Source organism: Homo sapiens, chromosome 7 (assembly GCF_000001405.40).
Source record: "Homo sapiens chromosome 7, GRCh38.p14 Primary Assembly".
Lineage (NCBI taxonomy): Eukaryota > Metazoa > Chordata > Mammalia > Primates > Hominidae > Homo > Homo sapiens.
This window is the reverse complement of record NC_000007.14, coordinates 85465091-85491016: the sequence shown is the minus strand read 5'-3', so window position 1 is coordinate 85491016 and position 25926 is coordinate 85465091. Positions and strand designations below refer to the sequence as shown.

The 25926-nt window shown below is 32.5% G+C and overlaps 1 long non-coding RNA gene across 1 annotated transcript in view; it reads right to left on the bottom strand.

The window, feature by feature from the left end:
* Nucleotides 1–1678: 1678 nt before the first annotated feature.
* Nucleotides 1679–25926, bottom strand: part of LINC00972 (long intergenic non-protein coding RNA 972) — a 68217-nt gene continuing 43969 nt past the window's right edge. Inside the window, exons 3-4 of the long non-coding RNA NR_134240.1 lie at nucleotides 15657–15765; nucleotides 1679–2135 (exon numbers count right to left, since the gene is read on the bottom strand). This is a non-coding gene — a long non-coding RNA (long intergenic non-protein coding RNA 972). The remainder of the gene's footprint in view (nucleotides 2136–15656; nucleotides 15766–25926) is intronic.

Here is a 25926-nt window from a genome sequence, read left to right as displayed (position 1 = left end):
ACACCCAAGCTTGTCAATTACAGCCAACGCATAAAGCAAAATTGAGATAAATTTGCTGAAAACGATTGTAGCATAAAGCTAATCATACTACACATGGAATACCCTATAACATTGTCAATAAAATATAAGACTTTGATTTCAATAATTAACAAATTTCACAATTACCACCAGTTGAATTATGTCTAGATTTCTCTGGACTTTCAGTTCTCTAATTTTAATTGTCTACTAGATAAACTGCCCAGAAGAATTCATGGAACTACAAATTTAATAGGGTGAAAGCCAAGTCTACTAACCTACCTCTCAATCTAATAAAAATGTCTGCAATATACAAGTCCCAATTCAAAATAACAGAAATGTTTAGCATAGTTTGTCAAATGTATTTCTTAGCTAGTTAGGCAGTATAATTTCTACTTTGTCAATACATTTCTCCTTTCCTTTCTTTTCTGTCTCTCTCTTTTTTTTTTTTTTTGTACTTTGTATGGCATCCTCATTGTTCTCTTATCTCTTCATTGGTGTCGTTATCTCCTCATTGGTTTCATTTCTTTATTCTTGCCCTATGTTATTTCATTCTACTCAAGACTTCAGATTAAATTTTCTAGATCACACTTAGAAAATGTAATTATACTAAAAAAAAAGCTACCAAATTTAATAAAAATTGCCCAAGTCAGCATCCAAAATTAAAGCTCTGCATAGTTTTCACGATTTAATCCCAATAATTTCCTATGGTCACAAAAGTCTAATACAAGCTCATAACTTTGCTTCTCCCTAAAATGTCACCCTCTTTCTGTGTGTTGAAATCCTTCAGTCTCATAAAGTGTAGAATCAATTTTGTGAAGACTTCTTGATATTTCCAAACAGATGTGATACCCTTATCCTCTAAATTGTTCCAATGATATTTGACAGTGCTAATTATAATGTGTCTAGGTGTTTAGCTATTTTTATAGTTTCTTAAGCACATCTGATGCATCTATGAACTACCTCATTGTGGGAACTCTGCTCTATTCTGCATTGTATTTATTATAAAACATAGCTCCAAATTTTATACAGAGTAGTCAAAAAAGCCATGGAATGAAACTTGAAAGTCAGCAAACTAAATAAAACTTGATTACTCAAATCCATGTCTAAGAGCCTTTGCTGTCTACAGAAAACTCGGTTACCTACTTAGGGAATCCCTTACCACAGTGTTTGATAGCTACTCTGTGACTCAGAGTAAACATCTGGATGTCTGACTGGAACTATCTTTGTGGTTTGATGATCTTTGAAAAAATAATATATTTGAAGGACTGTTATCAGTGAAAATGCTTTTTTAATCCTTTTTCCATGCAGGTACTGACCACAGAGAGGAGTCCCAGATGACTAATGTAGTGGAAAAATTTACTATTCTTTAGCTATTTTTTGTCTGGAAGATTGGTGACCATATGTAACTCATGCTTGATGCTGAATCAGGGAAAGAAAATGAAAGGGAACCATTGGTATAGTTGGGCGAATGGCCCAGACATACGCCTACACTACTGTCAACTCTAAATAAAGAATAAAAAAGCCATGACCTAAGTCACCAAATTGAACCTTTTCCTGGTAAATATAAACTTAGTGCTTAGAAGATTGCATATAAAATGGCATTAGAGAATGTATAGTATTTCTTAATGTAATATACACATTACAATAAAAAACACTTGGCTTATTTTATACAAATTTATTTTAAATAATACTGTATATATGAAAGAAAAATCACATGGAAAACCATAATTAGCTTTCTGCAAAACATATGAGGAATTCTATTAAAATATGTTAAGACAAATATTTATTATATTTAATAAGACATAAAAATACAAACATTTGGTAGAAATTACAAGGTGTAAAATGTAGGACATGATTAAAAGTTTTCCTAAGTTAACTGTAACTAGTAATTTATTGTTTTATATTTATAGATAGGACATTTACAAATCAACTACATAAGACACATAAAAGTTTTATATCAAAGCAGATGCTATCTATATTCTTGCAGATAAAACCAAATAAACAGAAATATAGCGAGAACGCAATTTTTGATGCATTATGTATAGTGTGTGTCAGCTCTGAAAGGGCCTTGATCGTATTCATCATTGTATTCCTGGACTGAGCACAGCACCTGGAAACTGAAAGATAATAAATACCATTTAAATGAAAAACTGTTAGAACTAATAAACAAATTAAATAAAGTAGCAGGATACATAATCAACATACAAAAATCATTAGTGTTTCTATACATTATTCAATTAAAAAAATAAAGAAAAGAGTCTCATTTATAATGACATTTTAAAAAGACACTTAGGAATAAATATAACCAAGAAGGTGAAAGATCTATACACTGAAAACTATAAAGCATGTATGAAAGAAATTGAAGACAACACATATAAATGGAAAGATATCCCATGTTCATGGATTGAAATAATTAATATTATTAAAATGCTGATACTGCCCAAAGAAATATGCAGATCAATGCGATCCTTATCAAAATTACAGTAACAATTTTTACAGAAATAGAAAAAAAAATCTAAAATTTGTAAAATCCAAAAAAGATGCCAAAGAGACAAAGCAACCTTGAGCAAAACAGAGCAAAAGTACTGGCATCACACTTCCTTATCTCAAAATTTACTGCAAAACCATGGTAATCAAAACAGATGGTACTAACACTAATAACAGAAATAGAGACAAATGAAACAAAACAGAAAGCCTAAGAGTAAATCTTCACATTTACAGTTAATTAATCTTCAACAAATTTGCCAAGAACACAAACAGGAAAAAAAATAGTCTCTTCAATAAATGGTGTTGGAAAACAAGATATCCACTTGCAGAAGAATGAAATTAGAACCTCATTTCACTCCATATGCAAAAGTTAAAAAAAAAGAATTCATGACTTAAACATAAGACCCGAAATTGCCAAACTACTATGAGAAAATTTTCTTGACATTGGTCTGGACAATATTTTGTTGTACATGAACCCAAAAACACAGGCAACAAAAGCAATTATAGACAAAAGAGACTGCATCGAACTGAATGTTTAATGCATAGCAAAGAAAACAATCAATAGAGTGAAGAAAAAAACTAAAAATCGGAGAAAATACCTGCAAACTATACATCTTATAAAGACTTAATAACTAAAAGACATAAAAATGGCCAACAGATATATGAAAAAAATGTTCAACATCACTAGTTATCAGAGAAATGAGAATTAAAACCACAGTGAGATATCTGTTAGATTAGCTATTATACCAAACATAACATGTATTGAGGAAGATGTGGAGAAAAGAAAACTTTTGTACCGTTTGGGTGAGAATGCAAATTAGTACAGCCATTATGTAATACAGAATGGGGGTTCCTCAAAAAATTAAAAATAGAATTACTCTATTGTCCAGCAATCCCACTTGTAGGTATATATCCCCCAAAAATGAAATCAGTATATCAAAGAGATAGCTGCACTCTCATGTGCATGGCAGCATTATTCACAATAAACAAGATATGAAATTAACCTGTGTCCATCATCAGATGAATGGATCCATAAATGTGGTTATATACAAAATGAAATACTATTTAGCCATAAAAGTAATAAAATGTTCTCATTTACACATCATGGATGAACATGGAGAACATTGTTAAGTAAAATAAGCCAGGAACAGAAAGATGTGTACTGCATGATCACACTTGCATGTAGAAGCTAAAAACCTGAATTTATAGAAGCAGAGAGTAGAACGATGGTTGACAGCGGCTGCGTGTGGGGGATGGAAAAATGTTGGTCAAAGCATATAAAGTTACAATTACATGAATAAATTATGAATATCTAATATATAACTTGCTGACTATAGTTAATAATAAAGTTTTTAATACATAAAATTGCTAAGAGACCAGATCTTAAATGTTATCACTACAAAAAAAAGTATGTGAGGTGATGAATATGTTAAGTAGCTTGATTTAATCAATTTATAATGCATACATGTATCAAAATGTCACTTTTTACACCATAAATATATATAACTTTTATTTGTCAATTATACCTTAATAAAGTATAAAAAACGATGGAGACAGCCAGGCGTGGTGGCTCATGCCTGTAATCCCAGCACTTTGGGAGGCCAGGGTGGGAGGATCACCTGAGGTCAGGAGTTCGAGACCAGCCAACGTGGTGAAACCCCGTCTCTACTAAAAATACAAAAATTAGCTGGGCATGGTGGCAGGCGCCTGTAATCCCAGCTACTCAGGTGGCTGAGTCAAGAAAATTGCTTGAGTCTGGGAGACTGAGGTTGCAGCAGGCTGAGATCAATCCATTGCGCTGCAGCCTGGGCAATGTGAGCGAAACTTCGTTTAAAAAAAAGAAAAAGAAAAAGAAAAAAGATGGAGACAAAAAAAGAAAAATTTCATCTACCAGATTTAAATGTGTAACAATTCTAGTGGATTTCTTATTTGGCCAACATTATTAGTCCTATAAGATGATTTTCTTTGTTTTTAATGGTAAATTATAAAATAAAAGCCTAAAATTGTTTGATGGATATATTTTTCTAATAATAGTCATTTTAACTTATATTTAATTATATTAAATAATATAATTTGTTCCAAAAAATAAGAAGCAGCATTTATGATCTATCATAGTCAGTTTTAGAGAGTTATACCTAAAGCATCCTAGCATTTAAATTTAAGAAGCTCTGGTCATGAAATGTTGCAAACTTGGAGAAATATGCTGAATCACTGCAGATCCTGGGAAATATAGCATTACTGAAGATCACTAATGGATATCATATTAAAAAACACTTTAATTCTATGAATTGATTGCATTATATTAGAATATTTCATTTTATTCTAGATTTTGTAAGGCTACATTTAATGTGTATAAACATACACAATAAGCATGCATGTTTATTAACATATTAAAAAACGTATATAGTTTTACACTACCTTAATCATTTTTTTCTTTGTCTCAGTCACCCACTAATTTTCTTACATGCTGGGAATGTACTTTATTCAATGCTTTATTCATGTATTAGGAGTTTATTTTTATACTTTGAGTGCATCGACTAGGTGGTAATTGTCAAGACTGTGAGAGTACATGGATTTTGCACAAACTTTGACTACAGAGATGGCAGAATTTGCTAATTAATTGATGTGTGCTATAAGAGAAAAATTGCCATCAAAAATGACTTCAAAGTTTTGGCTTTCAAAATTGGGAGAATGAAGTTGTAACTTACTAAGCTAGGGATGATTAGAAAATAATTATTTAATTTTGTTGATAAAAATCTATGAATGTATTGTGAACAGAAATTTGTTCTTGTTATTCACCCTCTGTAATCCCAAGAAACCCTCATGAATATACTAAAGCCTATCATCATAATTATTCAGATTCTTCTATCAACATTGAACAGTCTGGTATTAATCATGTTAACTCTCACCTTTATGAGCAAAGAAAAATCAGCCAACTCTATTTGGTTAGTGCAATTGACACTTGTGAACAAGAAGTCTAATATGATTTTCATAAACAAGCCAAAGAAATTGATTTGGTTGGACTAAAAAAGAAAAAAAAAAAAGGTCAGTGGAAATCCCACCAGCCCCTGTTAATATAAAGATGTATCGAATTACAATCTTGTTTGTGATGATAATACAGTCAGACTTGTAAAGTTCTTATCACTGGCCAACTGGCATAGAAAAATTACTCCTTTTCTACAGTAGTCTTCCCTTATCAGTTGTTTCACTCTCCAAGGTTTCAGCTACCAGTTGTATAGTATAATAAGAAATTTTAAGAGAGAGAGGGATAGTGAGAAAAACTACATTTACATAACTATTATTACAGTATTCTATTCAATTGTTAGTTATTATTGATCTCTAATTGTGCTTAATGTTTGAATTAAACTTTATTATGGGTGCGTATGAACAGGAAAAACATAGTATATACTATATAGAGCTTGACACTATCCATGGTGTAGGCATCCACTGGGGATTTTTGAAGTATCCACTGTGTATAAGGGGAGACTACTGTAGATGAAACTACAGTAAATGAGTGCAGTCTCAGTACATATACTTTAACTTATGTGAATTCAGCAACCATTTACATTTCCTCTTTTGTAGCCACCATATCAGAACTTAGAATACTGCTGGTAACGAAGCAGAATGCTATGAATACCGATTGACTTGAGTTTATAGAATACAAAAAATTGGAACACTGTGCCTTTTGGGTTTTAGGATGAGCACTATACTTCATGGTACTATATTCATCTTTTTTCTAGATGCTAATATTAGAGTATTACCCCTGTGTTAAGAAGCAAGTGATTTTTATAATAGTAATGACAGATTTACACTTGTTAATTCCATTCACTTTTGCATATAATTTATAATGTTGGTAAAACCAGTGAGAAGTACAGTCTATATATTTAAAACATGTTTTTCACTACAAAATAAATTTATGCAAAAGGAAGTAGGCTCAAACCCAAACTCTTATAAGCATGCTTAAAAGCGTTAAAGTATTTCTGATTAGCACCATAAAATGATAAAAATTTAAATAAAAGAATACCTTATATTATACCTAATAAAAATGATGAAGGATATTTTCATGTCTAAAATACAAATTTTTAAAACTATCTGTCCATGAGATTTAACAGAGTCTACATTTTCTTCTAATGTAGGTTAGCAATGCATATGCTGGCTTTTCACAACAGATAAAGAAAAAATATTTTAATGATCTGCATTCAATATATTTCAAAGTATATGCGTTGTTTTGTAGTTATCAATTTATTTGCTTATTTATATTTATATGGTTTTATACATGTTTTTAAAATAGGTTAGATGTTGAGAACTTCTTTATTTAAATAATAATTTGATATTAAATATGTTTGATTAATTTCTAATAACAAGGTTGGTACTCAAGATGAAAGACGCTTCAGGGGGTTCTTAGTTACAGTAAGGTATCCTAAAATTCATTATGTACATTTTTGTAGATTTAGTAAATAGTATTTCTCATATCCACATATTTTTTAAATGACTAAATATTTTCTAAGTTAAAACATATAAATTTATTTTAAAATGTCACTGACCTCATGATACTTTTAGTTGTTACATAATTTCCTAATCAGAGCTTACAAAAATTATCATAACTACCATGTGGATATCTGCAAAACATTTTGACATTAAAAACCAGGTCCTTGGACTTAAAAATTTAGGTACTAATTCACTCCATTTCAATGCAGTAACTGTTCTTAACTAATGCAATTTAATCTACTTCCCTTTTTGTCTTTAGTTAGTAGAGATTCAAAACATCTGGTTATGATCAAGTATTCATAATCTCCTAATTTAAAGTTACATGATTCACAATTTTTTAATATATATTTTGGAGATAACTGAATATGTACAAAAATATGGGCAATAGGTCATATTAACCTTAAACTATTCTGAATGTTCTTAAGCGTCAATCAGAAATACAAATGGCCTATCTTTATAATTATTTCCCTTTACCCTATCTGAAAAATGCTTATATTTTACACTTCAGCCTAAAGTAAGCAAGCACTGCATAAAATGTTGTGTTGGGTAATCACTACTGCTTAGCTATTGCTCAACACATGTCAAATACAAGTAATTAAAACTATAGTGGGCCCAAGCAAAACATTAAAATTTTTGCATTCCAAAGGAGGTTCATTAAAACCAGATGACTGGCTTGGCTCGTAGAAGGACTTGGCTGAAACATGTCCACTTCAAATCCATACTGTCTTATTTGCTTACATCACAGAATCACTGACTCAAGAACCTGAAGGGTCCTCCAAAGTTTATCTAACCTCTTTCCAAGCAGAGTTTTACTTAAAATATTTTGCAGAGAAACTAATATTTCTTTACAAAGTCATATGCAAGAATATTCCAAATACTTTTTGTATCATTAAAAAGTATAATTTTTCAGTGAGTAGAAAAACAATTTAAAACTCTTTATTATTTTATTCTGCTAAAATCACCTTAATGCATTTTAGCAAATTCATTTGTGGCCTCACTACAGTGAAAGAGATCAGCACTAGCGTGAACTGTGTCATTGAATAATATTCCATTCTACATTATATCCAATACACAAACAGCATAAACTATGTATTCTTCATGGCTGCAAACTATGAGAGACTTAAATTCTTGAAAAAAGTTTAAAGTGGCACTCAAAAAAATTATAAAACCCATATTTGGTTAATATACATTTTTATTATGAGAAATTGATAATTAAGAATCAATTATTTAACCATTTATTGTTAAAAAGAAAAGAATGAAAGAATATTAAAATCAAATTCCTTAAATAATCCATTTAAAAACATGTATTAAGTTATATATAAAGGCTCCTTATTATAGACAATTTGATGAGCTAATAGGTAAGTAACTTCAAGCAGTTTATTAGTCAAGCATTGGAAATGTGCATACTGTATTTAAAATGATTTCAAGTCATCTTAGATCTCTTAATAGGTTTACTGTTTTTGAAGCCCATGAGCATTTATCTTTTATCAAATAATCCTAAAACCTACAACTTATATTGCTTAAACATGCAGTCTTTCAGTGTACTAAAAAATAATCAATGCATATGCTTTCCTTTCTGCCACTCTACCTCTGGTCAACAAAATTAAGCAGTTTAAAACACAGTTTTAGTAAGAAGGTAAAGCTTTATGATATAACACATCCAATTTTGATGCTGCATGAGGGAAAAGACAGTCTTTTAAGTTCAGATTAATTCTGAGTCACATGTTCTTCCTCACACGCCTGTTTGCCTTGAGTGAAGTCTGTTTTTTTTGAGCACAGGATGCTACTGACTGTAACTCACTCAAAACATGGGCCAGGAAGATTTATTTTGTCATTTCAGCTGAGAAAATGGTAAAAAGCTATAAAATGAAGGTATTAGGCCTTTGGTGTGCTTCATATTACACACCACTATTAAGGTGGCAAAGTATCCATCTCCTCAATACAGCATTTATAAAACATTATGTGTTGAATATACTGAATTATTTTTACTTGCTAAACAGGCTTAACAGTAAGAATTTAATTCAAACTCCTACCATTAAGCACAGTTTTTAATATCAATGTAAGCTTCAATCTTAAATAAAACATAAAATTATCCTCTTATAGCAACAGAACATAAATTTATTATTCCTCTTGAGTGTTTATCTCTCTATCCATGTTATTAGGCTGTGTTAATTGCCTGTCAAGAGAGAAAGCTTCTGTTCTGCCTGTGACAATCATAACCACATATTGTGCATAATATTGATATTCCATTCACTTAATGTAAGCACATATTTTGATTATAAAAGCAATAGTATGTTTAACATATTATATCTTACTACTATTTAATGTTTGCTAACCATTGAACAATCCATTATCCTCTTAAATTATGGTTGGTTCTTAAGTCAAAGACAAACTGTAGAAAACCATGTATCAATCTATACATAAAGTTATATATCTACCTATATAAAAGTCCATCTTTATATAATAGTGACACAAATTTTAGAGTGTGACAAGCTGAAACATTTTTCTTTACATAAAAATGTACAATTACATTGTGACTATGACTTTCCAAATACCCATGACAAACTCAAAATCCATGTGCCTCCAACTGATTCAGAGACTTAGGTTTCCATCACTTTTACCTTGTCTCTCAGCCATGGTTTCTATATTTGATTAGTTCTTCCTTAGTTATAGGACTGTAGAAAAGTCCACCTCAGAGGTTACTTAGAGGCTACATAAGCTTTAGTAACTTAGGGACACATACTAGTCAGTCACTCTGTCTCTTGTCTTCATCAGCTTTCCTTTTTTGTTGTTGTTGGTCATTTGGCTTATTGCAGGTAAGATTCCTCCATGTTGGAAAAAGTAGTAATAATATGTCCACACAAGACTCTAGACTGTTCTTAGCAAAGCTTACTAAGGTCAGAGGAAAGTAAGGTATACACACACACACACACACACACACACACACACACACACATATAATTAGCAAAGCATACTAAGCTCAGAGGTAACCTGAGATGTAACAATCCTGTTCAAAGGCCAGGTTACCTCTGAGCTTAGTATGCTTTGCTAATTATAAATACATATTTTTCTCCCCTTTAGCACCCACATGTGCTATTCTCCCCTTTGGCACCCACATGTTAAATCCCAGAGAATAATTTATGCTGACATCACCTAAATAAGCCGATGACTGTGATCAAACTAATGGCTAATATAATAAGTCAGACCTAGGAGATATATTTTTTTGGATACAGGTTAGAAAAGGAAAACAGGATGGCACTTATTACACTGGTCCCACCCAGAATCTCATGGAGTAAGAGAGAGGCTTGGATCCCCAGAAATAATGACACTTGCTGTTAATAAACAAAATGTGAGGAAACAAAGGGCTTAAATTACATCTTCCTCATTTTATTTTTTAGCTGTCTAGTTAACACATTTGTGTATAATTCCATGAATAGCTCCACCTAATATAATTATTTTACTTAATAAACATACACTCATCCTCTCTCCAACAGGAACAATCCAAAGACATGCTGTTAAGTCGCCCTGTTCTACGGCCAGCATCTCTGGGTAAAATGCATTTCCCTTAATCAAATTCAGATGTGAGTCCTCACAGCACCACTGCCAAATTCTAATTATAAACGTAACCATTCGATCTTACACAACAAACAATGTTAGGGAAAACAGAAACAGTCCAATAAAGCAAAAAGAATTAATGGTGAGCTCTTCTCTACTGTTGGCATAAATTCATTGCTTTGACCTATTCTCCTGTGTCCATTGATCTTTATTGTCACACTCACAAGGGAACACACTATCACACCGCACAAGACTCTGCAACCTGAACAGTACTTAAGAATCATATGAGCTTTGGCCCAGTAGGTTCTTGAGGGAATCACAGGTACCTGATTTCCAAGTATGAGTTCCCTAACAATACAACTCATAAAACCTTAGTCATCTGTTAGTTGAGTCATTTGAGGGTACCTTTATTCAATCAAAGAATAAATCTTGACATCATACTTCTTAATTCTATACTTTCTCTTTGCTTTATTTTTTTTTCTCTTTTAATAGCACAAGAAATTTTGGTCATGTACCTATATGTCAGCTTGATGACTTTTCTGTTGATTTCCAGTTCAGGTCAGGCCAGTATGAAAACATAGGCCAGTATCAGGGAGGCAGAGACAGCTGCTTCCACACCTGTAGGCTGGACCCCTGTGGAATAAATATTTATATATATATGTGTGTGTGTTTGTGTGTGTGTGTGTACACATATATGCTTATACATATATGTATAAATACATATATGTATATAAATACATATACATATATGTGTATGTATATATACATACATGTATGTGTGTATATATGTGTGCGTGTGTGTGTATTTAAAAAAAGAAACTTTCAACATCTGTAATAATCAGATAGTAAAGAGAACAGTAAGTGATATTTGGGAGGGCCATGAATATCTGGATCTTCACATTTCTCTGGAGTTTCAGTCTCATTTCCTTTTCTGTTTCCCATCTCCTTGCTCTGTCCACAAAAACTTAAGGGCTGGCAAGAGAATTTGAGCTTTACACTTCCCATGTGATTGTCCAACTCCCAGTGGCCTTGGGATCAAAAGTGAATTGGTTTTTAGACTAATACTAAAGGCTTATATTACTTTTCTCTTAGAAATTAAAAAGGAAATGAAAGAAAGGAACACAAAAAGGTAATACAGCACATGTTAAAATATTTCAAATAGCATCAAAAACTGTAAAGTGAGAAGTGACTTTTTCTATATACTTGACACCCAAATTCTAGTTCCCTGACCATAGGCAATCATTGAAGCACTGCATGCATTCCTAGAAATGGTCCATGCATATTATAGCACACGTATATCTGTCACAATGTGATACCACTGTAGATCCACCAATGACTATAATAAAAAAGGTAGAAAATACTAAATGTGACAATAAAATGAAGAAACTGTTACAGGACAGGGGTCCCTATCCAGACCCCAAGAGGGGTTCTTGGGCAAGGAAAGATTCAGGGCCAGTCCGCAGTGCAAAGTGAAAGCAAGTTTATTAAGAAAGTAAAGGAATAAATGATGGCTACTCCATAGACAAAGCAGCCCTAAGGGCTGCTGGTTGCCCATTTTTATGGTTAGTTCTTGATTATACACTAAACAAAGGGTGGATTATTCATGCCGTAGCGCTGGTGGGAGTGTAGCAGTGAGGGACGACCACAGGTCACTCTTGTTGCCACTTTGGATTTGGTGGGTTTTGGCCGGCTCCTTCATTGCAACCTGTTTTATCAGCAAGGTCTTTAAGACCTGTATTTTATGCTGACATCCTATCTCATCCTGTGACTTAGAATGCCTTAACGGTCTGGGAATGCAGCCCAGTAGGTTTTAGCCTCATTTTACTTAGCTCCTGTTTAAGATGGAGTTGCTCTGGTTCACACACCTCTGATAAAACTATTTATTTACACCCTGTGATTGGAATTCAAATTAGTACATATTCTTTGGAAAATTATTTGTCAGGATCTGCTAAAGCTAAATCTATAAATTCTCTGTTGTCTCAACAATTTCACTGCGTGTTATAGAACTAACAGCAATGGGTAGACCAGAATACATGAATGATATTGCTCACAACAGCACTATTTGTAGTAGCCCACGTCAAAATTTTCTGAATGATTATCAAAAGCAGAATGAATAAACAAATTGTTTTATATTCATACAATGGCATGTATAGAAATAAGAACGAAAAAAATTAACTGCCAGTATTTGCAGCAGTAGGAATAAGGATCACAAACATAATGTTGAATGAAAGGAATAAAACACAAAAAAGAATGTTATGGATATGGTTCAATTTACATGAAGTACAAAAAGAGACAACACTAATTTATGTTGTTATAACTCAGGAGAGTGGTTGCCACTCAGAGTTAACAGTGACTGGGAAGTTTCTGGGGCTGGTAATCATCTATTTGCGAATCTAGGTGAATTTATTTTGTGAAAGCATATTAACTGGTGTGTATACTTTTCTGTATATGTATTATACTTCACAAATAGCTAAATGATATCACAATAGTGAAAGCAGTCCACATAATCATGAATAATCATATATTTAATAAACAGTTAAAATAAATGAGGTAAAGTTCTATTTACTGATGCAAATATAACTCTAAAGGAGTGCTAGCTTTAAAAAATAGAATAATAAATACAATAGCATAGCATACATAATTCAATTTTAAATGTATATATATGCATACATTTATTTAAAATATTTTTCTGATATACAATGAACTGATAAAAGTGGTTATACCTCTAGAGAAATAATATTGGTAATAAATTAAGATGATATCTTCCTCTACTCTCAAAGCTTATTTTTTGGTAAAATGTTTATATATATACATATATATATATATACATATATATATGTTATATCGTAAATATCCAACTATACATGGATGTAGACATTACATATCTCATATGTTTTCAATTAAAAAATGAAACTAGCCAAGAGATGGAAGCAGCCCAAATGTCCATCAATGGATGAATGAATAAACAAAGCATGGCATATACATAAAATTGAATTTTATTCAGTCTTAAAAAGGAAGGAAATCCTGTCACACATTGCAGTATGGATGAACTTTGAGGACATTATGCTAAGTTTAATAAATCAGTCACTAAAAGACAAATACTGTATGATTCCACTTACATGAGATATCTAAAGTAGTCAAATTCATAGAAACAAAAAGTAGAATGGTGGTTATCAGGGCTTGGGAGAAAAGGGGAATTATTGTTTAATGGGTATAGAGTTTCAGATTTGCAATATGAATGAGTTATGGAGATCTAGTTCACAACAATGTGAATATACTCCACACTACAGAACCACAAACTTAGAAATGGTTAAAATGGTAAACTTTACGTTATGTGGTTTTCACAATAATAAAAAGTAAAATTAAATTAAACATGCTAAGTTTCAGAACAAGAAAAAAATAATAGAATTATATACTCATTGTTATAAAATCTTATTTTATTCCCCTAACATGTCTTGAGATTTGCTCATATTAGTTCATGTAAAGTTACCTCAGATTAAAAAAAAATTGTAGAATATTCCATTGCACATGAGTATGACTAATAATGTGAGTATAATATAAAGACATTCTCCCTACTTCATTCTTCATGAGTTCTGCTTCTAAATGAAATAAATAGTAAGGAAATTCACACTGAATTTAACTGGAGAAACAAGTTCCTCAGTTTCCTTGTTAAGATAGTCATTCACTATATTTTTATCTGGTAACATTATTTTCTCCAGTCTGAGGAGAGCAGAGAATTATGGCCAGACTCTATTTATGGGCGTACTAGATTGGTTTGTTTTGTTTTGTAACTTGGCAGTAAAGGTGAAACTAGCAATACCAAGATTACATTTATCTGGAATATATATATATATATATATATATAATATATTATATATTATATATAAATCAATAACTGTTTCTCAGTTCACTTTACTTTCATAGGTCACAGTTTTTATTTGAAAAATCAAGAAATTCTTGATAATTAATTCAAAGTATTTGACCCTCAGTTCTAGTGCTATACCTTCTTCCAGGGGTTTCACAGCAAATTCCTTTTCAGTGGCAATACCAACTGACTTGAGGAAAGTGGTTGGGGCGTTGTGTTGGTTTTACATTTCCTACAGTCCTGTTATCCAACTACAATTGGACATAGTAGACATTCAACAATGTCTTTGTTGTTGAGGGGTGCAATTATAACTTTATTTCTGTCTTCACAATAAGACAAATGGAAAGTATAATATTAGAATAATTAAGTTATAAGATATTTTACTAAAAGTACAAGAGTAGTAGTATTAACAGCATTCAGTACAACATTTTTTTTTAAAATTTTCTATACCAGAGATTGTTTTTGGTCTTTATATATGTTATTTCTAAGTACTTAAAAAACAGACTTACAGAATAGAGTTGCATGTTTAAACAAGGAATTAGGATTCAGAGAGTTGAAGTGAGTTATCTAAGAACACAGAAAGTAGCAGAAATACAAGTCCAGATCTCTCTGGCTTCTGTTCTTTCTTACCATTACATCCTGTTGCTATAGGAAAAGATAAGGTTGTACTTTCTAATGCTATCTTCCTAAGTAATACCTAATCTAAATAAACTTCTGATGGGTTTCTATACTAATAAGAGAAAACTCCATCAATCAAGTGTGGAAGTAGTCTTTCAATTCAATATTTAGCTATTCAATAAGAAACTTAACATTTTATTTTTAAAATTTAAAACATACTTAGAATTCTAACTTAGTTGAAACTATACATTAGAAACTGAATGACCCAATCTCCGGTCACAAAGATCATGTAAAGTTGAACTTTGAGTCAAGGTTGTTTGCTTACCAAATTTGGTATATGTTAAGTGGCATGTAGCTTCCATAAATATAGAGAACACAAAAGGTCTTCACCACATCTGAGTTTGGGTAACACTTCATTTCACCAAACACAAATATAATATAGCTTTTCTATTCTATATTTATGGGGCAGGTGTTCACCGTATAATAATAAGTTTACTAAAGTAATGTCAACTGGCAAAGTATACCCCACAAACAATACTGGTAAATACAGTAGATTCATGGGGAAAATGTGCTGTTTATTTCTGTTTTCCGAATGGAAGGAAAAGTTATAGTACATGGCAATTACCTTGAGGCTTTCTGCTTCACGAAAGTTGGCTTCCAATTTCATTACCATAATTCTGCAGAACGCAGTCAGTTGCGGTCACAGTCTCTGCCAACCCACCTTCAAACTCTCCCTGCCAATCAGAGCAGAACATCCTGTTGTGGGAGTGGAGTAGTTAGAAGTTTCATGGTATATCTTTCAGAAAAGAATAAACTAGCATTATAATTGAGGTCATTGCCAAAACATGGTATTCTCATGAAAAGATGTGATAGGATTAAGCTGTCATTAATGCTTATTAGCCGGGGTTGGGGGGAAATCTTTCCTAAACAGAACTTTTAACTTAACTGGAATTAACTGAGGCTTTTTCTAAGTAAGTCAACTCAAAACAGTGGATATTTACTGTTTTTGTAACATGTGCAAGATGCTTTCTTACTATTTTACAGACCATAATCTATAATATTATCATTTAATTTTTGCATATTTTAGATATAAATCCACTTGACAAATTAATATTAAGCACCTAATTTAAAGGAACGAAATTCTGTGCTGATAAACTATTGGCTCTGTGTCTTAATTATTCCCTTGCACTCTTTTGTAGAATTGCTATATGTGAAACCTAATAGAATTTAAATAATAATTTTTGTTCATTAATTTATCTGTTATTGAGTACTAAACAATGTTCTACGTGTAATGTGTGATTGAGTACTAATAAAAATTCTATGTTCTAGGTGTAATAGAGAGAAATAAGGAAAATAAACTGAAAATGAAATGACTACTATAACAATGGCATATGTGGGGGTTATTGAGTTGCAAAGGAAAAAAATTCTTTCTGACAAGATCAGGAGATGACTTCCTATAGAAAAATGCAAAGTTAAACAAGATTGTCATTTAAATTACCTCAACTTGATTCCCCTTGGGGGATTTCTACTTAATAATTTTCTTTCTATTTTGGTACAGGCCAGCAAAACTGCTCAGACTACTAAAGGAGCATATTTGTGGGCACTGTCTGACTCGTATGAAGATGCACATGTGAGAATGTAGGTATTCAGATCGAAACCAGATAAATGTATTTTTCAATGCTGTAATTTTGAAAGATGAGCCTAACAGAAAAGCCATCTTAACATAAAAGTATATCTAATTCTTTATGACTTTGAATTTGTTGCATTTAATTTTCATTACAAATATTATGTAATTTGGCTTCTGAAATTAATATATACAAATGTTATATATTTTCTAGTTTCTTTTTAGAATGACAGTAATGCAAAACAAATGCCAAAACCTACTCTTGTCACCTGCACTAGAAAGGAAAAACATTCACCAACTAGCATGGGTCACTTACTTTCCCAGAGGAGAGGAAATAATAAAGACAAACAGCATTTTGATTTTTTTTATTTGATGTGATAGTAAATCTACTACGATTTTTGGTAACAGCTGTGAGTAGGTGTTTAAAAGAATATTTCTTTCCTGTTTCTTTTGGTGACATAAGTCACTTTGATTCTTTCTCTTTGACATCAATATGAAGGAAAATGTTAGTCTAAATGCTCCATGATGCCAGAAAATATACATTGTTTTGTGCATTTTCTAGAGAATTAATGTTAAACAAAATGTCATTATTAAAAATTTCCAATTTTATTAGGATATAGTTTTTTTGGTAATTTAAACATTTGCATTACTTAGTAATCAGCTACAGTGCTAATAGATAACATGATATATTAACCTAAACTGGTTTTCCACCTGAACATTTTATACCTGCTAGTATGTTTAAAAGATGAGTAAGTGTCCAATTAGGAAACAATTTATGCAGCTGATATAATGAAGCACTAGATTTGCGAGTTGGCTTTCTCAAATCTATTTCCTTAGGAAGCTGCACATTTTATTTTTTACATACGCCGCACTTAGAGTGCTAATGGAAATAAAGATTAAGCAATAATAATGATAATAATACTACCCTATTAAAACATTGCTATCCCAGTTGTTGTTGTGATAGTGGTGGTGATAATGGTGGTGGTGGTTTGCGCCCTCCCTCTCTCTGTATCTTTGTCCTTCTCTCTCTTATTTTCCTTCTTCTTCCTCTTTTTTGCATCTTATTTGTCCTTCTTTTAGTTACAATTTTATCAGACTTATTAAATAGAGTCACAGATAAGTTTTGAAGCATTCACTATCAGGAAATTGTTTAGAAGCACACTTCCATATTTACTATCTCATATATGCATGATACATATAATATTATGGAGAGCAATTGAGGTCATGCCTGGAATCATCTGATGATGTCCCAAGACTAATCTAACATAAGTTCCATTGTTATTCTCATTCCTTGTGATTCTATGACTATGGATTTCTACTCAGATATACTATTCCTTAAAATATTATAAACTAAGATTTTTAACTTAACAGATTTTTAACATATATGCTTCAATTATTCTATTGATTAGAATCCTAATAATGAAAAGATAACTAATGGCAAAGTAGTTAAGGGTATTATATACAATATATGTTGATAGAACATATATGTTGATAGAACATATATACAATATATGTTGCTTTTATACTTTGTGTTAAAAGCATTGTTGAAAACATAAGCAAGTTCTACCTATTCTTTGGTTTCACAATGATGACAAAATAAACCTTAAAATCTGTTAAAGAGTGGTGCAAATATTCATAGGAGACTTTAGAATTGACACTAAAATTACTTATCTATATCTGCTATCTATCTATCTATCTATCTATCTATCATCTATCATCTATGTCTGCTCTCTAACTATCTATCTATCTATCTATCATCTATCATCTATCTATCTATCTATCAGTCTCCCTCATCTCCTGTCTTCACCACATCTGATGGTTTGGGTTTTTCAAAAGTTAATGATGTTTGGGAAAAGCAGACACAGTCTGTTGTCAAGTTTTCACTTGGTCTAAATTCAAAATCTATGAGAATAGACATTCCTGGTTACACAAGATGCAGAGTCAGACAAACAAAATTACAATGACATATCCTCCAGTTTTCAATCTAATCCATGGCATTTTTCTAGGAATAAAATAAAATCTTCCGAGGCAAACTTTGTTTACAGGTAGAATAACTGCTTCGAGTAGTTTCCTCCCTATAATGTATCATTTGTCTGCATGCTTATAATAAACATTCATTTAGTAGTTTATCTGAACTGTCAGGGGATTCAATAAAATTCTGTTGAGCATAAAATAATTGAGTTTGCCATTCTCACATACTGAAAGAATGTTTTGAGTTCAGAGAGAGGGAAACAACTCACATAAGATTACTATAGTAAATTTTTTCCAATAGTGTTTATTCTGAGAAGACAGTGGAAGGTACTTGAAAAACAAATGAGTCTGACTAAACTTCTATGCCGCAGTAGCGAGCAATGTAAGTTGTTTATAGAATAGTGAAAGCATGGAGACAGATGCCTCTTTATTTTCTGAGTTAACTCACTTTCAGTGACATGAAAGGAAACTGCGGGATGGTGACTAACACAAGTGGAAAGAGTGGAAATGCTCAAGAAAACCAAAATAGAGTTGGTGTTTAAGACACTTCCTTAATTGTTGCTTCTTGACTTAACTCCCCCTCTCTTTTCCATCACACATCTTTAAACTGCCTTGGCTTTAGTTTTTGAAAAATTTGCTACAACAATGATTATTTTATATGCAGCAAACACAATTTTAAAGAGTGTGGTTTTAATTGGAAATACTAATGTAAGGGTCCATGAGAAATCAAACCAACTATGTTAATAGAATATAAAATCAAAAGTATAAATATTTTTGAAAGTCTCCTGATTCATTTTTAACCAACAGATGTCACTGTTACAGATGTTGCAGTTTTATTTATTGCCTCTTTTCTTCAAGTTTTTACTTCTTACCTCTTTTTTTACTCTAATACTTTCTCCAGCAGTGCTGCCTCATAGAACTTTATGCAATAGATGGAAAATTTTTATAAGCTTCACTCTCCAATATGGTAGCCTCTCTAGCTATGAGGTAATGAGTACTCATTTAAAATGTGACTAAGAGAAAAATTAAACAATATGAATGAAACATCCCTCTTGATGTTTGCAGCTATTGCCATTCTTTTACTCTTCCTCTTCCCTTTTCAGTTTATTTTTCTTCTTTGACTTATTTCCCTTAAACTCTACACATCTCCCTCAGACATCTCCTTTATATTCAAAGATTTATTTATTGATTATTTCTATTGAACCTCAAGTCTCCAGTACCATACATTCCGTGATTTACTCAGCAAGTATTTGTTAAGCAATTACTAGGTTTTAGCACTATACAGACCTAATATAAATGAGAAAACTAACATTGCATAAATACAGGTATGATAAATATTTCAGGAAATGCATTTTTACCTAATGGAAAATTTTGTGAGGATACCCTACAAATCCATGTAATGTAGCATGTGCATATATGGGAGTCATTTAAAATTTTTAGGTAATTAGGTTTTTCCTAAAGCTGTAATGTATAATCCCCAGTTGTGTCATAGAATTCTTTGTTCTGGGAAAAATTATATAAATGGGCAAAAACAACAGCAATAGCAATTATGAAATCACCTTAACCTGAAATCAGATACTAAGTATTATGTGTTAATGTAAATTGTTAAATTGCTTATCTGGGCTTTTGCCCTTTAGAGGCAGTGTGGGGATGGACACGGAGGGCAAGAAACAGCCATTTGCTGTTTAAAATGAGAGAACAATGTATAAAACTCAACTGTTCTTGAGGGTGTGGTGATGCTGTTGTGGTTATAGCTTGACTGCTTAATGAGGGTGTTTTGGTACAGTTTGAAAGGAGCAAGAATATTACTTGCAGAATATGAGCTGCAGAAAGTAAATATGAGACAAACACCTTCCCCTTCCCCAACTTCGTATTATTAAAAAATCCCACTCTATAGAGAACTTTTTAAAGATGCAATGACTAACTCTAAACCCTTCACCTAGCTTCATCAGTGTTTCTATCCTCCATCATTGCTCTCTCTCTCTTTCTCTCTGCATACAATTTTTAACCATTTGAAAAGTAGGTTGCAGATACAATAATTTCTCATAAATACGCTGCATACACCTCTAAAAGAAAGACATTATCCAGCATAACCACGATATCATTATCCGACATAAAATATATGTTAACAATAATTTTATAAGATTATTGAGTATACAGTCCACAATCATATGTTCCCAGTTTTCCTAGAAGTAACTTTTAGGTTTGTTCCCTGATATAGGATCCAGTGAGGTTTCATCATGGCATTTGTTATGATTATTTAGTCTATTTTAATCTACAAGAGTTCCCCCCAACACACTCCTTTTGTGTCTTACTTTTAAAGACTTTACTGTTTTTTATTTATATTTTTACATTTTGTTTTGAAGAGTCAGGCCATTTTTCTTTGAGAACATTCCACTTTCTGAATTTGCTTTATTTTATTTCATCATAATTACCTTAAGGGAAAATCTGTCATTTAGCAATGACACCACATAGATAACGCTGTGTACTCTACAGCATCACATGTAGGAGGTACATAATATCAGGCTGCCCAACTGTGTGTGTAACTGCTGGATCACTTGGATATGAGCAGTGATTATCATATCTCTTCCTTGTAACTTTTTCCTCTGTAATTAGCTGGTAATCTGTGGGTAATCATTTACAACTGATGCAAAAAAATTCTCTTCCCCAATGATCTTTAACCCAATGGTTTAAACATCTATTTATAGTAAGTGCCTAAAGGAGTTTTTACATTGGGAGCTACAAACTCATTAGTTCTCACATTTCATCTGATTTCATCATTTATTCTATGCTCTATTGGTAGTCTTCTGTAAAAGGAGACTTTTGCTTTTTATTTTTTACATTTTGTGGTTTTGGACTCACAGTTTTAGGAGATTATAATCAAATTTTTTCATTATTCTAGGAGATTCTCAACTTAACCAGAATTGAAGGGGCCCCTTTAGGTCAGTGTTGCCCCCTCCCTTTTACTTCATGAGCCTTTTAGTATTTTTTTTTTCCTTCAGGCATAATAGGTATTAATTACTTGTAATCAGCAATTGTACTTAGAAACCAATATCTGGTCATTTGGTGTCTCATTGCTACTAGGTTATTGTTATTTCTAGACCTTTATAGTGGACAGACACAGGAAATGTCTTTTGGTGTTTTTAATCAAGAATTCAAACTAATATTTCTAATAAAATTTTAACATTAACAGGATTTTTTTACCTTGTATTTTATATTGGTACCTGTTTTTCTCTCAGTAAAAATATGCACGTATGTATGATTTAGACAAGGTCTCGCTCCGCCACCCAGGCTGGTGTGCAATGGCATGATCATAGCTCACTGCAGCCTCAAATTAGTAGGCTCAAGCAATCCTCCTGCCTTAGACTCCTGAGTAACCAGGACTACAAGCTTGTGCCACCATGCCCAGCTAATTTTTAAACATTTTTTGTAGGGATGGTGTCTCGCTATGTTACTCAGGCTGACCTCAAGCAATCCTCCTTCCTTTGCCTGCCAAAGCACTGGGATTACTGGCATGTTTTCTTTTCATAAAATTAATGTATTAATTTATTGGCTTTATTCTACAGTGCCCATAAAATAACATCATAAATAGGGATACTGCCACTAATAGTAATAATTATAGACTCAGTTATTAGATAACTTCAGATTTTTTATCTTATTTAGACTTTTAACTATATTAAAAATTTTACTCAAGGAAATCTTCCTTTCACTATATCCAGCTCCACCCTTTCCCTCCTATCCATTATATATAATCATTTTTATTGCCTTTTGGTTTATCTTTCCCCTAGTTCTTTTTGGGGGAAAATCTGTCTTCTTTTTGCACAAATAATAACCTATTAAAGTATTGAATGCAATCTTTGACCTTCCTTTTTTCCATAAAATTATATTCTAGAAATTACTCCTCTATCAATTTATAGAGATTTTTCTCATTCTTTCTAATGGCTACTTCGTATTTCTTTTTGTTTTTTTATGATGCTTTATTAAAGCAGTTTTTTATAGATGAGAATTTGTTTTAAAATTTTGCTATTACGAAATAGCATCATAAAAAATACCATTTGCATATGTGTTTTGAGAGTCCCCAGCTAAACTGGGGTTCCAGTACCAGAGCACCTAGTAACCCTGCCCTAAAGGAAAAGGACTGGGGCTGGATATGGGTGTTTACAGTATGCCTTTCACAGGATATTTATTTCTTTTACTCGGAGGATGGCTTAATGTCTGGTTGTCTAACTCGTGATGTTGGGGTGGAGTTGGGGTATCTGTCACATGGGAAACTTCTTTATACTGGCAGATACCTACGTTGTCTTTGTCTGACCTGTGTCCAGATTATGACTGACCATTGCTCTGGCACTGGAAGCCTGACTATGTGCTCTTGCCTGCATTTCCAGGAAAAAACCCAGCCTGGGGAAGCCCCTGGTTTTTCAGATGGAAGACGCAAATTTAATATACTACCACAATAAGAAACAAGTTCAAAGATTTTCACTTACAGATCCTGGGCAGGGAGGCACAATGAGTCAAGAGGGCAGTCCTCTGTCCCCAGGTCACAGGAGGCAGGAATGAAGAGTCAGACAGAGAGGGAGAAGAGCACATGGCAACTAGCGGTATATGTAAGTGAATATGGTGTGGGTCACTTTACATTCCCACGCAAAGCCTGACTGTCCTTTTAAAAGAAGCGGGAGAGATGGATCTAAGTTTTTTGGCTAGGTTGAGTCATGTAAGTGTGGTGTAGAACTGGAAATTGTGTCAAAAATGACTAAGCCCCGCTTCTGGTATCAGAAAGTTTAACTTGTATTCAAAATGAATGCCGAGGCAACACAAAATTATAACAATTCATCATAATATGTTGTTTTGTATTCTGGAAGGCCTATTGTCAGGGTGGATTTCTAAAAGTGAGATTATAGATCAAAGGGAATTTTCCTTGATAGAGATTGACCATTTTGCAAGACATGAGAGTTACTGCTTTCCAAAAGCCACAGCTACAGAATAAACCGTAAAACTTTTGAAATTTTCCGGTTTCCCAGTAATAGTAATCTCTGCATTTTTATAAAGAATAATATGGTGCATATTTTTGTATATTTTATGTACATTTATTTTTTCTGTGTAAGTTCTATCCATTCTTTTACCCATTTTTATATATACTTTTAATCTCTTATTTCTTCAGATTAACAGATTTTTATATATTAGAGAGATTAGCTAAAGGGTACTTTTGTGAGACACTATATAAGGTTTGTTTTTCTGTTTCTGCCTCAAATGATGTAGAAGTTACTGTTATCAGAACACGCCTGTGCTCTATTACAGGGCAACTAATCATCTTTTCAGGTCCAATAAAAATCCATGTCCTGGCTGCATCCTTCCCTGAGCACTTCTTCCCTCCTTTTTCACTAGAAGTGAAGAATGATTTATTCCCTCCATCAATCAAGGATGAAAGAAGAAGTGAGACAGGTTCTTGTGGACATCAGGAAATACAGTTTCTCTATGAGCTGTGGGTTTAGAGAGAAAGGGTTTGGAGGAAATGATTGTCACCTAATATAGAAGACATTGGTGGAGACTCATGAACACTATTCTCCTTGCTTTCCATGTAGTTGTGGGTTAATGGTCCTTGCACCTCCTGCACAGCTGGAGTATACTGCTGTCTGGCATTTAAGACCAACCTCTTTACACGTAGCAAAGTCCCTCTCTAAACCTCTCTGAACCACAGCAATGGAAAGGAAGTGACAGATTGAAAAACTGTGTGGAAGTTACAATTTTAGGCTATGATGATTGATTCCTTTGGACCAGGATCTGTTAAAATTCAAGAAAACATTTTTCAACCATGGTACTCATCAGAATCCCTCAGAGAGCTTCTTCAAAATTAACTTTCCAAGGCCCCACCCTACCCCTAGTGACTCAGAAGTTCTGTGACTACATCCAAGGCTATTGATGGAGATGAGGATGAGGTGTAAAATGGTACCTGGAAGTGTTCTGATAATGAGCATGTTTTTATAGATATATCGGTCATTCAAGTATATTCATTTTTTATAGTATTTTTAAAATGTGTCATTGCCTATTTTAAAGGATTTTTTATACATTCTGATGGTAACCTATTACCAGCTATCTGTATGACAGATAACTTTCTCACATTATAGCCTTGACTTTTTTTAATGTATTTAATTTGTCTTTTAATTTAGTTTCTAAAATGTTTAATATAGTTAAATATATCAATCTCAACTTTTGTGTTTTTGTACATTTTTGTACTTCTTTAAAGTGCATTTCCCTGGCCTAAAGCCATAATCTATCGTTTTCAAATTAAAAAAAACTTTCAATTTTTACATTTCAGTCTTAAATCCACCTAGAACTGATTATTTGCTTAATAGTATGAAATAGAAATCTAATTGTGTTATTTTCCACACATATAAGCAGTTTCCCAATGAATTTGTTAGCAGTCAACTAGACTACTCTTCCAAAAAGTTCTTCTTGTGAAGAAAAAAAAAAAGACTCAATACAATAGATACAGATACAGATGAGGAGGAGATTGTAGCTTTCAGTATACATTTGCAAAACATGTTCTAGAATCAAGGTCTTCTTCATGGATATACATGACCTGTGCAGTTGGAAAGAGTACTATATACCTAGAGGGGCCCTGAGAATAGTTCAATGTTTTGCTATTGGCATAATGAAATTCTTAGTAATTTTTCAACATGAAGCCCCACTTTTTATTTTGCACTGGGACCTTACAAATTATTTATGTAGCTAATTCTGTCAAGGAGACATTGTCTGGCAACAGTTGTCATTAGTTTGCTCTTACCACTTTCTGGCTTCTATTGATTGAGTTTTTACAGAATTAAGGACATATATCTGCTCTTCTTTTTAAGAAAAGATTCTACTTTTTGCTTTTGTTTTCTAAAATTAAAAATTTCAGCTGGCCCTCCAGATAAAAAGGATCAAATACAATTCATATGTTGGCTTTAGTGAAAAACGGCAGATTACTATGTGATTTATATTGCTATAAATAAGTGATAAAAATTATCAAATCAAAATTAGACTCTAGTAATAAATTGTATAACCATTAGAAAATGAATCAATCAATAAATATTGATAAATAAAGGATGAGATAGAGAAGGCAAGTGGTGACTATTAAACGTGAAGTAAGATTATTGGCACTTAACTATTTTCTCAGCCTACATTGACTGATTTTTTTTTCCTCCCTGTTGAAATCCACCAATTAGCAATATAGTGAATCTGATAACCTTCAAAACTGCAAAAGCTCTCTAGCAGAGACCTATGACCTGAACTTTGCTTTTCTATCTACATCTAGCTGAGATCA